Here is a 14,874-nt window from a genome sequence, read left to right on the forward strand (position 1 = left end):
GCCCCCCCAAAGTGCTGGGATTACAGGTGTGAGCCACTGCGCCCGGCTGTGGGACTTTTTTTTTTTTTTTTGAGTTGGAATCTTGCTATGTCACCACACTGGAGTGCTGTGGCGCCATCTTGGCTCACTGCAACCTCCACCTCCTGGGTTCAAGCGATTCTCCTACCTCAGCCTCCCGAGTAGCTGGGATTATAGGCGCGTGCCACCACATCCGGCTAGTTTTTGTATTTTTAGTAGAAATGGGGTTTCGCCACGTTGGCCAGGTTGGTCTCAAGCTCCTGGCCTCCCGTGATCTGCCTGCCTCCCAAAATGAGCCACCGCGCCCAGCCATGGGGGATTTTCCACATACGTTGAAAACATGAGGATGTTCATGGACCTGGCTCTCCCAGATGCTGGAACACAGACAGGCACTGCCATGCTCGTGGTGTGCCGGTCAATGAAGACGCTACAAGACAGAACTTCCACAGTTCAGTCCCACAGAGAAAGCATGTAGGGAGGGGTGGTAGAAAGCAAACGACATGCCCTTCACGTGGAAGCTTAAGAAACAAAACAAAAAAGTAGCCTGGGCGCGGGGGCTCACGCCTGTAATCACACCACGTCGGGAGGCCAAGGCAGGCAGATCACCTGAAGTCGGGAGTTCGAGACCAGCCTGACCAACATGGACAAACCCTGTCTCTACTGAAAATACAAAATTAGCTGGGCGTGCTGGCGCATGCCTGTAATCCCAGCTTCTCGGGACGCTGAGACAGGAGAATCACTTGAACCTGGGAAGCAGAGGTTGCGGTAAGCCGAGATCGCGCAATTGCACTCCAGCCTAGGCAACAGGAGCAAAAACTCCCTCTCAAAAACAAAGAAACAAAACAAAAAATAAATGAGCAGGCTATCTGGAATTACTGGTCATTGTTTCTTCTCTTTTACTTTATCTGTATCTTCTGGTCTTCCTGCACTAAACTTTTATTACACTGTTCACTTTCAGGTTCTAGGGGCCACCAACAAAAGTGATTCTACTTTCCGGCCGGGCGCGGTGGCTCACGCCTGTAATCCCAGCACTTTGGGAGGCCGAAGCGGGCAGATCACGAGGTCAGGAGATCGAGACCATCCTGGCTAACACGGTGAAACCCCATCTCTGCTAAAAATACAAAAAATTAGCCAGGCATGGTGGCAGGCGCCTGTAGTCCCAGCTATTCGAGAGGCTGAAGCAGGAGAATGGTGTGAATCCAGGAGGTGGAGTTCGCAGTGAGCCGAGATAGTGCCAGTGCACTCCAGCCTGGGCGACGGTGCGAGACTGTCTTTAAAAAAAAAAAAAAAGTGATTCTACTTTCTATCTTTCACTGGGGTTGGGGGCAGCGGCGGTGGGAGCTGAACCACCACCATAGCCCAGCCAGACTGTTAGTCCTTCATGAAGCTTTGGGACACTGCTGGGAAGAAGCTCTTGGCTAGTTTCACAGCTCTGGCAGCACAGACCCCTCTAGACCAGCTGAGAGGCCCACACAGCCTGGGCAGAGGCAGATACCTGACAGGTGGGGAGCTCAGCCCAACTCACTACCCAGCAGCTGGGCACATGGCCTTCCCCTTGGGTCACAGGCTCCTGAGTATATGGGAGCTCAGGCCCAAGAGGCTCCAGGAACCCCAGCCAGGCAGGTGCACCTGTCAGAAGATGCTGCCAGAGCCAGGCCTACCACAGTGCCTACCCTCCTACCCAAAAGACTCCCTGGCCAGGAACCTGTTTTCACTTCCTCTGAAACCGTCCCCTTGACCTGCTTTCTTCTGCAGAGGCACACGCTGCCCCACTTTGCCCTGTCTCTTCCCTGGGTGAGACTGGTGCTCCTGGTGCAGACTGAGGAGACTGTGGCTACCCCCAGGCAGGGAGTTTGCATGCTTTGGTACCCAATACACCCACAACACACCTGCATAGAAAGAACACGCTCCTGGAGCAAGATCAACCAGTGAAGCTCCCCCACCTAGGAGGCAGGGAGCCACAAGACAGCCTGACCTGCAGGCTTATGGGGAGTTAGGAAGGGAACTCACAGGGCAAGCACAGCAGCACCCAGTACATGGAGCCACAGGCAAAGGCAGTGAGTGCTTGAACAGCCACGGCAGTTCCGAGAGGCTGTGCAGGGGGAATAAGAAGGCCCAGGCACAGATCACCACCCTCTGCCCCGATCAACCTCTCCAGCCCCTCTCCTCAGTGATACATCCCAGAATCAGAACCAAGGGCAGCAGCCTGCTGCCACCTCCCCTTAGCCCCACTATCTTTCTGCTGCAGCTGAGGCTTGGTCTGAGTCAGCAACAGCCCCAGGGAAGGTGGGGAGGGTTCTGGCCATGGCACAGGGAAGACGGCCCAGAATCACTTGCCTGGCCAGGCTGAAACGGTGGCTGCCTCAGCTCCCAGGCACCCAGTCTTTGACCCCAGCCCATTCCATGACCACTGGCTCCTTCTCTGTCTTCTGGGTGGAAATCTGGGTCAGGGAGGAAGGAAAGGAATGAAAAACCAAACGGTGGTTCTCCAGGGGACTGGCCCAGGAGTAACTGGAGGGCACACTCAGGTACCCAGTGACCAACCACTATAGGGCTGGGTCTCTGCCCCTACCTGCCGTCCTGCAGATTTGAAACAGGGCCACTGTCCACCCACCTAGTGGCCCCTCTGCCTATGACCTCCCTGCCCCCCAACCTGTGATTTCACACTTCAGGGAAGGAAGAGGAAAGGGTGGAAGAGGAAGACAGTCCTGCCAGCATGTGTCCAGCAGAGGGGACACTAGGAGAACCTAACTGAACACAAGGCCAGGGTACTGCCTCTGTCCACTCGCGCTTAACTTGCCCGCTCTGTGATGGAGTGCTTGGATACAGGCTGCTCACAAATGCTGGGCTGCTTCTTTGACTTGCCATGGAACTTTCCAGACAACTGCCCCAGGGAGATGGTGTGTGTGATGTGTGAGGGGTGCTCACACTGCAACCAGGCCCTTGTCTGGGCTTTGGTACCTCTCCCGCTCCCCACTGCTCACCGGCCGCTCGGCTCTGAGGCCCGTGAGGACACTCTCCATCATGCTCTTCACATAACACAGACTCCCAGGTTCACACACACTGTGTTCCTGCATCAAACCGTTTCTTCCCCAAATGCCAATGACCTTCCCTTGGGCAGAACGGCCCCGCACACAAAGGGAATGTGTTGTGTTATGAAGAGGCACAGGCCCCGACCCTGGTCACCCAAAGGGGTCCCAGAAACCGCTCTGTAACAAGATAAGGTGGAGCGCTACTGCTCCCACTTTCCTGCGCTCCCAGTCCGTAGGTCCAGGACCTCCTCGGTGGTGTTGATGGAAATGATGGGAGTCACAGCAGGGGCTTTCCAATGCTTTTCATGGAGACCAGCAGTAAGAAATGCACTTTACGTCACAGCCCAGCACACGTGTATGTCATGTGTGCACATGTGTTGTGCATGTGTGTACATGTGTAGAGCGACAGCAGCCAATCAGAGCTAACTCTATTCTGCGATGGACGCACTGACAACTCCTGTTCTGTTGTGTTTTGAAGAACTAACTGGTGCATGGCGGCTCTGGCCTGTGATCCTAGCACTTTGGGAGGCCAGGAGTTTTTGACTGGTTTTGGCAACACAGCCAGACCTGGTCTCTACAAAAAATATTTTTCTGCCGGGCAGATCACCCCATCAGGAGTTCAAGACCAGCCTGGCCAACGTGATGAAACCCAGTCTCTAAAAAAGATACAAAAATTAGCTGGGTGCAGTGGTGTGCGCCTGTACTCCCAGCAACTCGGGAGACTGAGGCAGGAAAATCCCTTAAGCCCAGAAGCGGAGGTTGCAGTGAACCGAGATCGCGCCACTGCACTCCAGCCTGGGTGACAGCGTGAGACTCTGTCTCAAAAAAAAAAAAAAATTCTTAGCTGAGTGCGCTGGCGCACACCTGTAGTCCCAAGTAGCTAGGAGGCTAAGAGATTACTAGAGCCCAGGAAGTCGAGGCGGACGGGCGGGCGGGTCACCCTCCAGTTTGGACAGTCAGCAATGGAAGCTTCAAGGGTTGGGGCTGAACCAAGGGTGGGTGGGATCGCGTCTGATGCGCCCACCCTTCACGGGGACCGCGTGCCCCTCACTGGGAGGGCAGCCCGCCTGGAGCCCTACTGCCTCTGCTCCCTCTGGGGGTCCTGGGGACCCGATGGCCACCACTCTGCCACACGAGCCGCGCGCTCACACACTCCTCACCCGCCGGCCACATCCCTTGTCTGCGCACTCAGGCCCCTTCCACCCAGCGCGCCTAGCTCTCAGGCTTGCTCGCCCCAGCGCACGCGCTCCACCTCCCACTCGCGGTCCCCCCGACACGCGCCCCCGTCCACACTCGCCCTCCACCCCCGCTCTCGCTCACCCTCGCTCTCATAGCAACCCTCTCTCACCCTCGTCCTCACACCCTCTCACACGCCCCCTCACACACTTGCTCTCTCTCACGCACCCGCCCGGCGTCGCCCGCGACCCCACGCCCGTCCTCCCGGGGCCGAGCCTCGCTGCCCGGCGCGCCCACTTTGCGGGAGGGAAACTGAGGCCGTGCAAGGAGGAGGAGCAGGGGCCGGCCGCCGCGGGGCTCACCTGCATGTCAGGGAGGCCGGACGGCCACAAACGCACGGCCGGAAAACGCTCCAGCGCGCCGGAAGTCCCGCCCCAGGCGCCCGCGCGCCGCCGCCGCGCACGGCACGCTGGGATGGAGAGGGGCTGGGCCAGGACAGGGGACTGGGCAGGGCTGCCCGAAAGTCGGGGCCGGGGCCGGGGCCGGGGCCGGGGCGGGGCCGCGCCGGGGGCGGACCCCGGGCCCGGCGCGTTCACCTTGAGCGCCCCTGGTGCTCGCGCTGGAGCTGGTTATCAGGTTCCCGGCCCAGGGGTAGCCGGGTTCCCAGCGCCACGGCTCTTAGGCAGGCCTGGCGCCCTTGGCGTGGGGCCGCGCGGGGCCTTGGGCTCCAGGGCCTCTGCCCGGCTCGGCGGTGCCGGGAGAACCGCGCGGTGGGCTCCGCCCCGGCACGCTCCCCCGGGGACCCGGAGTCACCACTCCTGGCGTCCCCCCGACCCCCGCCTGAGTGGACCATCTCCATCCCCAGGCCGATGGCGCCCACTGCGCTGTCTCCAGCGGGGACTGCCCGAAACGCGCGCTCTCTCGGTCCGCACCCCCGCCTTGCACATTGCACGAGCCGGAGCCCCAGGAGGCAAACCAAGTTCCCAACTCAGCCCCTCGCGCTTGGATGAACGAGCGCGTGGCCAGCACTTTTGAGTCACCGCGCATTCTACGCGGCACAGGCTGTCCGACCCCCACCCCCAGCCCTAGCCGTTCCCAGCGCAGTTTCCTACAGAAAACCGCACGGCCGGGCCCCACCCTGCCCCGCTCAGCCGTTCCCGGGGCGCGCGTGGGCTCCAAGACACCCTGCACAGCTGCTTCTCCATTTCTGCTGCTTGGGAGCTTTCTCCTTAAACTAAGCTTTGTCTTTCTTTCTAGTCACGTTTCCTTCTTTCCCTTCCCGGTATTTTCTGCCAGCTGACGCCCACGCCTTTCCTAGAAGGGGCTGGGGGCTGCATGCGGTGCGAGGCACGTCCCCCACCAGCTGTGGGCTCTTACTCAGCTTAGCACTCGCTCTCAGCAAACGGCCTGGATGGTGGCCTGAAGCCTGACCTTTGGGGGTGAAGACCTCAAGTCGGCAGAGCTCTGGAGAGGGTCCCAGTAAGCTATGGCAGGTGTCCTCAGGGACATATGCGCAGTCCTCCCAATGCTAAGGAGGCCATGGCAACATCCAACTTCTCTTAGGAAAGGCACTTAGCCATTTTAGGATCTCATTGAGGTCAGAGGTCTTTGGCGCTAAAGAATTGCAGAATCGATCGGGCAGCCGCCGCCTTTAATCCTAGCACTTTGGGAGGCCAAGGCGGGTAGATCACTTGAGGTCAGGCGTTCGACACCAGCCTGGCCAACATGGTGGAACCCTGTCTCTACTAAAAATACAGAAATTAGGCGTGGTGGCGCATGCCTGTAATCCCAGCTCCTGGGGAGGCTGGGGCAGGAGAATTACTTGAACCTGGGAGGCTGAAGTTGCAGTGAGCAGAGATCACACTGCACTCCAGCCTGGGTGATAAAGTAAGACTCGGTCTCAAAAAAACAAAAAAAAGAATTGCAGAATCTACTTAGGGTTCACTCTGGGCCAGAACTACAGACCTCAAGAGCAGATGGGGCCCGCAGATGGGAGGATAGGAAGCCCAGAGCCAGGCCCCTCTGCAGAGCTCCCAACGGCCGGGTTCCTGGGGGAGTCTTGTCAGTTGCCAGCACAAAGCGGTCCGCTTCCCAATCTGCATAGTTTGTGCCAATGGGCCCCGTGTACCTGCATTGAAAACTGACTTCTTGGCTGGGCGCGGTGGCTCACGCTTGTAATCCCAGCACTTTGGGAGGCTGAGGCGGGCGGATCACAAGGTCAGGAGATCGAGACCATCCTGATTAACACGGTGAAACCCCGTCTCTACTAAAAATACGAAAAATTAGCCGGGCGTAGTGGCGGGCGCCCGTAGTCCCAGCTACTTGGGAGGCTGAGACAGGAGAATGGCGTGAACCCAGGAGGCGGAGCTTGCAGTGAGCCAAGCCATTGCACTCCAGCCTGGGCGACAGAGTGAGACTCTGCCTCAAAAAAAAAAAAAAGAAAAAGAAAAAGAAAACTGACTTCTTTAGGTGGGCACCCACCTTTTAGCCTTAGGAAGATGCTGAATGATACATACCAAGATTTAGGAGAATCAGAACCGAAGTGTTAGCATTCCTGTATTAAGTGAAACTTGAACACATTTCGTATTTTATGTTTTTGGAACATCTAAGATAACTTGCAGTTCACCACATTTAAAATTTGAATCTGTTAAGTTGTATGAGTTTTTAGCCAGGTGCAGTGGCTGACCCCTGTAATCCCAATGCTTTGGGAGGCCAAGGCAGGAAAATTGCCCCCCCCCGCAAAAAAAAAAGTATCACAATGAAATAAGGTTTCACTCTGTCACCCAGGCTGGAGTGCAGTGGATTATGGTTCACTGCAGCCTCCACTTCCTGGGCTTAAGCAAACCTCCTGCGTCAGCCTCCCCAAATGCTGGGATTATAGACATAAGCCACCTCACCAGGCCAATGCATGAGTTACTGAAGCACCCGAGATTCTGTTATCAATTCAGACAACCTAAAGCACGCAAAAAGGAGTGAAAAGAGGCTTCATTTATAAATTGTTTGAAATGTTGAAAATTGCTTAATTGAGTTTATAGATGGGACCAAATATTATGCAGAAGCCCCTTTAAAGTGACTGCAGGCCAGGCGCAGTGGCTCACACCTGTAATCCCAGCACTTTGGGAGGCCGAGGTGGACGGATTGCCTGAGCTCAGGAGTTCGAGACCAGTCTGAGCAACATGGTGAAACCCCATCTCTATTAAAATACAAAAAAGTAGCCGGGCTTGGTGATATGCACCTATAGTCCCAGCTACTTGGGATGCTGAGGCATGAGAATCGCTTGAACTGGGGAGGTGGAGATTGCAGTGAGCTGAGATTGAGCCACTGCACTCCAGCCTGGGCAACAGAGTGAGACTCTGTTAAAAAAAAAAAAGGCCAGGCACAGTGGCACATGCCTGTAATGCCAGCACTTTGGGAGGCCAAGGCAGGAGGATCGCTTGAGCCCAGGAGTTTGAAACCAGTCTGGGCAACATGGTGAAACCCCGTCTCTACTAAAAATACAAAAAAAATTAATCGGACGTGGTGGTGTGCACCTGTAATCTCAGCTCCTCAGGAGGCTGAGGTAGGAGAATTGCTTGAACCTGGGAGGCGGAGGTTGCAATGAGCCGAGATCGCGCCACTGCACTCCAGCCTGGGTGACAGAGCAAGACTCCATCTCAAAAAAAAAAAAAAAGTGACTGTAAAGTCTTCTAGGCTTAAAAGGGAATAATAGGGGGTTTGTAAAATTGAACTTAACAGGTTAATAAATTGGGTTTTGAATTTCTAACTTCAATGTATTGAAATTAAATTTTAATAAATCAAATCCTAATTGTTGAAATTTAATATAAATCCAAGCATAACCACCTTGCCCAGGCACTAAACCAGCCCTCAGCCCCCATTCCCAGCCCTCCTTACCCGGGGTGGGTGTGGAGTGCCCTGGCGGAGGTCCAGGCTCTGCCCTGTAGGCCCAGGTCTGACCTGCCCTGAGGCCCTCCTGCTTGCCCACTGCCTGTCTGCCGTGGGCATGGGGGGGACAGAGTAGGGCAGGGGCAGGCCGGTGGGGTGAGGAGGCCTGCAGAGATGAGTGTTTCTGCTGCTGACTGGATCCCTGCTTTAGGAGACCCCATGCCTTACCTGGGATATTCCTGGGTCCCCAGCCTGAGGATGCCTCTCACAGACATCCTCAAAAGCACTCGAAGGCTGGGAGTGGTGGCTCACGCCGTAATCCCAGCACTTCGGGAGGCTGATCACTTGAGCCCAGGACATCAAGGCTGCAGTGAGCTGTGATTGCACTGCTGCACTCCAGCCTGGGCGACAGATAGGACCCTGTCTCAAAAAAAAAAAAAAATTACTCACACCTGGTTGTTGGAGGTGCCTGGTGGCTGTGGGGCCTTTGGGGCTGGGTTTGTGTCTTCCCCAGGCTGGCCAGTGCTCCTGGGTGGGGTCGCGGCGGCTCTGGGCGACTCCTCATTTGCAGAGTCAGCACAGGCAGGGCCCTTCCCAACAGTGGCAGCCTCGTGACTCTGTCCTGTTCTAACTAGGAGACCTTGGCCTGGGTCACCCAAGGGCAGGACCTGGGCCACTATTGCTGACCACGTCCTGTCACTCCTAGGCCTTGAAACATTCTAGTTCAGAGGCCGGAAGCCCAGGAAGAGAGGGACACACACCAGCACTCCCTGCTGCCTAGCCCTCCCCACCTGTGGACGGAGACATCCTCTCTGGGTGCTGGGATAAGCAAATCCAGGGCAAGCAGGAGGGGGAAGTGGCACACTCACGCCCAGCGGAAGCTTCTGGATCCAGTGCCAGAGCCAGCACAGCAGTTCTCTGCCTGTGTTCCACGTGTGGGCCCCCGCTGGCCCAGCCGGCCCTGGCCAGTGACAGTTGCGTGTAGGTGTCTGGTTGGTTGCTGGGCTGATGCTGAGCCCCGAGGTGGGCATGTGTGGTGGCACGTGGCCCTAGCTTTGTGTATTTGCCCTTTGCAAAGGCTGCGTGCGTCACGGCACCATTGTGGGTTTTATACTTCTCACTATCACACAGCCAACTTAAAGTACCGCAAGCTGGCTGGGTGTGGCGGCTCACATTTAGGGAGGCTGGGACAGGCAGATTGCTTGAACCTCAGGAGTTTGACACCAGCCTGGACAACATGGTGAAACCTGGTCTCTACAAAAACATTTATAAATTAGTGAGTCCTAGTGGCGTGTATCTATAGTCCCAGCTCCTCAGGAGGCTGTTTGGGAGGGTCATCTGAGCCCAGGGAGGTGGAGGCTGCGGGGAGCTGTGATCACACCACTGCACTCCTGCCCAGGTGACAGAGCCAGACCCTGTCTCAAAAAAAAAAAAAAAAAAATCTAGGCTGGGCATGGTGGCTCACGCCTATAATCCCAGCACTTTGGGAGGCTGAGGCAGGTGGATCACAAGGTCAGGAGATCTAGACCATCCTGGCTAACACGGTGAAACCCCGTCTCTACTAAAATTACAAAAAATTAGCCGGGCTTGGTGGCGGGCGCCTGTAGTCCCAGCTACTCGGGAGGCTGAGCCAGGAGAATGGCGTGACCCCGGGAGTTGGAGCTTGCAGTGAGCTGAGATTGCGCCACTGCACTCCAGCCTGGGCAACAGAGCAAGACTTTGTCTCAAAAAAAAAAAAAAAATCTGAAAGCAAAGGGGAAGGGCCGGCTGCCTGGCCTTGATGAGATCAAGAGGTAGTATTTCTCCGTGGTGGTGGGTTGAATGGCAGCCCCCGAAAGCTTGTCTAAGTTCTCACTCCTGTACCCATGAATGCAACGGTGCAACCATATCTAGAAATAGGATCTCAGCCAGGCGCAGTGGCTCATGCCTGTAATCCCAGCACTTTGGGAGGCTGAGGTGGGTGGATCACCTGAGATCAAGAGTTCAAGACCAAGCCTGGCCAACACGGTGAGAACCCATCTCTACTAAAAATACAAAAATTAGCCTGGCATGGTGGCGTGCACCTGTAGTCCCAGCTACTCCAGAGACTGAGGCAGGAGAATCCCTTGAACTTGGGAGGTGGAGGCTGCAGTGGGCTGAGATCGCGACACTGCACTCCAGCCCGGGAGGCAGAGTGAGGCTCTTGTCTCAAACAACAGCAACAACAACAAATAGAAATAGGGTCTCTGCAGAGGTATCTAGGGTGAGGATCTTGGGATGAGATCATTCTGGATATAGGGTGGGCCCTAAATCCAATGACAGGGGTCCTTGTAAGAAGAGAAGGGAGGTCGGGCACAGTGGCTCATGCTAATCCCAGCACTTTGGGAGGCTGAGGCGGGTGGATCACTTGAGGCCAGGAGTTCAAGACCGGCCTGGCTAATATGGCAAAACCCCATCTCTACTAAAAATACAAAAATTATCTGGGTGTGGTGGCACACGCTTGTAGTCCCAGCTACTCAGGAGGCTGAGGCAGGAGAATCGCTTGAACCTAGGAGGCAGAGGTTGCAGTGAGCCAAGGTCTCGCCACTGCACTCCAGCCTGGGCAACAGAGTGAGACTCCGTCTCAAAAAAAAAAAAAAAAAAGGGAACAGAAGGGAGAGGCAGCACTGAGAGAGATACAAGGGGTGAACGTGGGGGTGGGGCCTCCAGAAGGAACGAACCCCACTGACACCTGCTTCTGCCTTTCGAACGGCGAGGCCAGAATGCGTTTCTGTTGAGTTGCAGCCTCTGGTTTGTGGTCATTTTTCAGAGAGTCCTAGGAAGCTCATATGGCCATTTGGAAAGCCTGCAGTGATAATTTTAGTCAGTATGCTTTATTTCCTTTTTTTTTTTTTGGAGTCTCGCTCTGTCGCCCAGGCTGGAATGCAGTGGCACCATCTTGGCTCACTGCAACCTCCACCTCCTGGGTTCAAGCAATTCTCCTGCCTAAGCCTCCCGAGTAGCTGGGATTACAGGCACCCGCCACCATGCCCGGCTAATTTTTGTATTTTTAGTAGAGATAAGGTTTCACCATGTTGGCCAGGCTGGTCTTGAACTCCTGACCTCAGGTGATCTGCCCGCCTCGGCCTCCCAAAGTGCTGGGATTACAGGTGTCAGCCACTGTGCCGTGCTTATTTTCTAACTTTCTTTTTCTCAGACCAACCTTAAAATTGACGAATATTCCACCAGTTCACCTGGCTGGGCCCACAGAGAAGCCTGGGCTGGAGGCCAGGTGGGTGGGTGCTGGCCCGCCCGGAAGGAAGTGCTTGCTGCAGAACCCCCTGGCCAGGGAGCCCCTCGGGTGCTGGGAAACTGACTGTGGGCAGGGCCGGTCTGGCCTCAGCTGGTCTGGCCAGTAGAGCCGGGGGGCATTGCTCCACGGGGGTCTGAGGGAGCCCAGAGGCTATAGACTCCTGCTCTGGGGCTAACAGGAGGCCAGGAGTAGCAGCATCTGTGGGTGGGGGAACAACAGGATTTTCATGGCACCTCCCCACCCCTCCCCCAGCTGGTGTCACCTGCTGTATGGCTCCTGTGTGGCTTTGGGCATTTGGGGAGGTGGGGGAGCATTTACTGATGACTGATGGTGCCTGTGGGAATGGGCTTGGCGGTACTGATGATGAGACACAGGACAGAATGGGGGACGTCCCGATATGCCCTGGAGCCCCAGAGGCTTTATGACGCCCCCCACGTTGTCCTTAGGGTGCACCTTGCACACTGAGGCCTGGTAATCATTAGGTGTTTGTTAGGATCTAGGTTTGTCTGAGTGTGGCAGAGCCCCCAGCCATGCTGTTCCTGACGGAGTGTTAGCCCTCAAACTGTGTTCTGAGGAGGGGGTGGAAAGGCAGGCAGGAATTCAACATCCTGCCCCAAATGGGCACACGTCACCTCTGTTACGGGGTGAATTTTATTTCCTAAAAACACATATATTAAGTCCTAACCCCAGTGCCCCAGGATGTGACCTAATTTGGAGGATTGTGGCAGATGTAATTAGTTCAGATGAGGTCAGTAAGGTGGGCCCTAATCCAATAGGACTGGTGTCCTTTTTAGAAGAGGAGATTATGGCCTTACACAGTGGCTTGCACCTGTAATCCCAGCACTTTGGGAGGCCGAGGCGGGCAGACCACTTGAGGCCAGGAGTTTGAGACCAGCCTGGAAAACACAGTGAAACCACAGCTCTACTAAAAGTTTAAAAAAAAAAATTAGCTGGATGTAGTGGCACATGCCTGTAATCCCAGCTACTCAGGAGACTGAGGCTGGAGAATCACTTGAACCCGGGAGGCGGAGGTTACAGTGAGCTGACATCATGCCATTGTCCTCCAGCCTGGGGGACAAGAGCAAAACTCCATCTCAAAAAAAAAAAAAAAAAAAAGAGGAGATGAGGACACAGAGGAGTACCTAGGGACAACCCTGTGCAGACCCAGGGAGAAGATGGCATCCATAAAGCCAAGGAGAGAGGCCTCAGGAAGAGCATGCCGGTGGACATCTTTTTTTTTTTTTTTTTTTTAGATGGAGTCTCGCTCTGTCGCCCAGGCTGGAGTACAGTGGTGCGATCTCGGCTCACTGCAAGCTCCGCCTCCTGGGTTCACGCCATTCTCCTGCCTCAGCCTCCCGAGTAGCTGGGACTACAGGCGCCCACCACCACGCCCGGCTAATTTTTTGTATTTTTAGTAGAGACGGGGTTTCACCATGTTAGCCAGGATGGTCTTGATCTCCTGACCTCGTGATCCGCCCTCCTCGGCCTCCCAAAGTCCTGGGATTACAGGTGTGAGCCACCGGGCCCGGCCCCGGTGGACATCTTGATCTTGGACTTCCAGCCTCCAGGACTATAGGAAGACAAATTTCTGTTGTTCCAACTGCCCAGGCTATGGTACATTGCAGGGCAGGCCCAGATACAATCTCCCTGCACGTTCTGCTATCACCAGGCAATGCCTAGCTGCATAGGAGGCTGGGAAATGTAGTCTTGATTCTGGGCGGCCACATGCCCACCAAGTCAGGAGATCAGCTACTGTAGAAGGAGGGGAGATTCAGCGGCAGGGCTGGACTCGCAGTCTCTGCCGTCGGCACACGTGCAGGTCTGCAGGGCACACAGTGTACATGCTGCTTCCTGCTCATTGGGTAGCCAGTGAACCATGTGACATCCGAGTCCCCGGGAATTAAACCAGCAGAGAACTCTGGCTCAGCTCTGCAGGGAGGTAATAAAGGTGTCCTACCATCCCTGCTAGGCCCGAAGCAATCAGCAGTGCTGACACTCTCTGTACATTTGGAGTGCCAGAGGCTGTGGGTTTTTTCCTTGTTTCTTTTTCTTTCTTTCTTTCTTTTTTTTTTTTTTTTTTGAGACAGACTCTCACTCATGTCACTCAGGCTGGAGTGCGGTGGTGTGATTTTGGCTCACTGCAACCTCCACCTCCAGGGTTCAAGCAATTCTCGTGCCTCAGCCTACCCAGTAGCTGGGATTACAAGTGCCCGCCACCATGCCTGGCTAATTTTCATATTTTTAGTAGACACGGGGTTTCACCATGCTGGCCAGGCTGGTCTCAAACTCCTGACCTCAAGTGATCCACCTGCCTTGGCCTCCCAAAGGGCTGGGATCACAGGGGTCAGCCACCATGCCTGGCCGGTTGTGGGTTTTTTCTTAGTTTACATTCTTTCACTCTTCCTTTTAATATTAGAATTCCCAGAGCTGGGCCGAGCACAGTGGTTCACACCTGTAATTCCAGCACTTTGGGAGGCCAAGGCGTGGGCCTGGGCTGATGGGATTTGCTGCCGTGGGAGAAATGGCCAGGACAGTGGCTTTCCTTGGCATTGTCAGTGAGTGAGGCCACAGAGGTTCATGACAGTCCCCCAGCCCCACTTTGCTGCCAGGCTGGCTGGGCAGGGGATCGGAATGGGCATGTGCTATAACACCGTGTGGTTGGCGTCTGACAGCATGGAAGTCCAGTGCGGGCTAGTCAGGCTGGTAAAATGGGTCACACCTCAGAACTGCCTCGTGTGCTCTTAAAAACCGCAGCACTCAGGCTATATACCCTGGCCTGTCCCATCAGACCCTCTGAGGGTGTCACTAGTCGTCAGCCGCGCCACTGGTCTACCCCTTGGGTTGGGAAGGGGGCTCCCAGGATTTCCACGTTGCCTTCCTATTACAGTAGGTAGCCAGTCAGACGTGAGCGGTGCGGGAGAGGGCTCCCCTGCTCCCCGTCCCCCAACCAGGAAAGTCAGTTGACCATCAGGTGATGGTCAGGGAGCTGTTTGTTTGTTGTTGTTGTTGTTTGAGTCTCGCTCTGTTGCCCAGGCTGGAGTGCAGTGGCGCAATCTTGGCTCACTGCAAGCTCCGCCTCCCGGGTTCACGCCATTCTCCTGCCTCAGCCTCCGGAGTAGCTGGGACTATAGGCTCCCGCCAGCACGCCCAGCTAATTTTTTGTATTTTTAGTAGAGACTGGGTTTCACCATGTTGGCCAGGGTGGTCTTGAACTCCTGACCTCGTGATCCACCTGCCTTGGCCTCCCAAAGTGCTGGGATTACAGGTGTGAGCCACTGTGCCTGGCTTTTTTTTTTTTTTTTTTTGGCAGAGTCTTGCTCTGTTGCCCAGGTTGGAGTGCAATGGTGGGATCTTGGCTCACTGCAACCTCCAGTTCCCAGGTTCAGGCGATTCTTCTACCTTAGCTTCCCTAGTAGCTGGGACTACAGGTGCCCACCACCATGCCCAGCTAATTTTTTATATTTTTAGTAAAGACAGGGTTTCACTATGTTGGCC

The 14,874-nt window shown here is 55.4% G+C and overlaps 1 protein-coding gene across 20 annotated transcripts in view, besides 3 other annotated features; it reads right to left on the reverse strand.

Annotated features, from left to right (window-relative positions):
- Nucleotides 1–9,028, reverse strand: part of CHID1 (chitinase domain containing 1) — a 47,356-nt gene extending 38,328 nt beyond the window's left edge. For 7 of the 20 annotated variants that reach the window (NM_001142677.2, NM_023947.4, NM_001142676.2 and 4 more), the window contains exon 1: nt 4,589–4,624. Coding sequence is in view for 5 of the 20 variants with exons in the window: in XM_011520300.3 (XP_011518602.1) it covers nt 8,118–8,329 (212 nt within the window). In the remaining 15 variants the exon portion in view is untranslated. Of the gene's footprint in view, nt 1–2,355; nt 2,460–4,454; nt 4,625–8,117; nt 8,535–8,558; nt 8,660–8,977 lie in introns of those variants that run through there. The other 13 variants (XM_011520300.3, XM_011520299.3, XM_011520301.4 and 10 more) reach the window with 7 other exon arrangements.
- Nucleotides 4,307–5,146: a silencer, noted in NCBI's record as "silent region_3048". NCBI's record gives its function as "represses an Ori minimal core promoter by ATAC-STARR-seq in GM12878 lymphoblastoid cells {active_cell/tissue: GM12878}" and the evidence as "EXISTENCE:reporter gene assay evidence [ECO:0000049][PMID:35858748]".
- Nucleotides 13,023–13,317: an enhancer, noted in NCBI's record as "tiled region #4982; HepG2 Activating DNase unmatched - State 1:Tss, and K562 Activating DNase matched - State 8:EnhW". NCBI's record gives its function as "activates a minimal TATA promoter and a strong SV40 promoter by Sharpr-MPRA in HepG2 and K562 cells {active_cell/tissue: HepG2 | K562}" and the evidence as "EXISTENCE:reporter gene assay evidence [ECO:0000049][PMID:27701403]".
- Nucleotides 13,997–14,496: an enhancer, noted in NCBI's record as "H3K4me1 hESC enhancer chr11:920183-920682 (GRCh37/hg19 assembly coordinates)". NCBI's record gives its function as "activates a minimal SCP1, AML or CMV promoter by ChIP-STARR-seq in primed H9 embryonic stem cells {active_cell/tissue: H9 hESC(primed)}" and the evidence as "EXISTENCE:reporter gene assay evidence [ECO:0000049][PMID:30033119]".

This window comes from Homo sapiens, chromosome 11 (genome assembly GCF_000001405.40).
Source record: "Homo sapiens chromosome 11, GRCh38.p14 Primary Assembly".
NCBI lineage: Eukaryota > Metazoa > Chordata > Mammalia > Primates > Hominidae > Homo > Homo sapiens.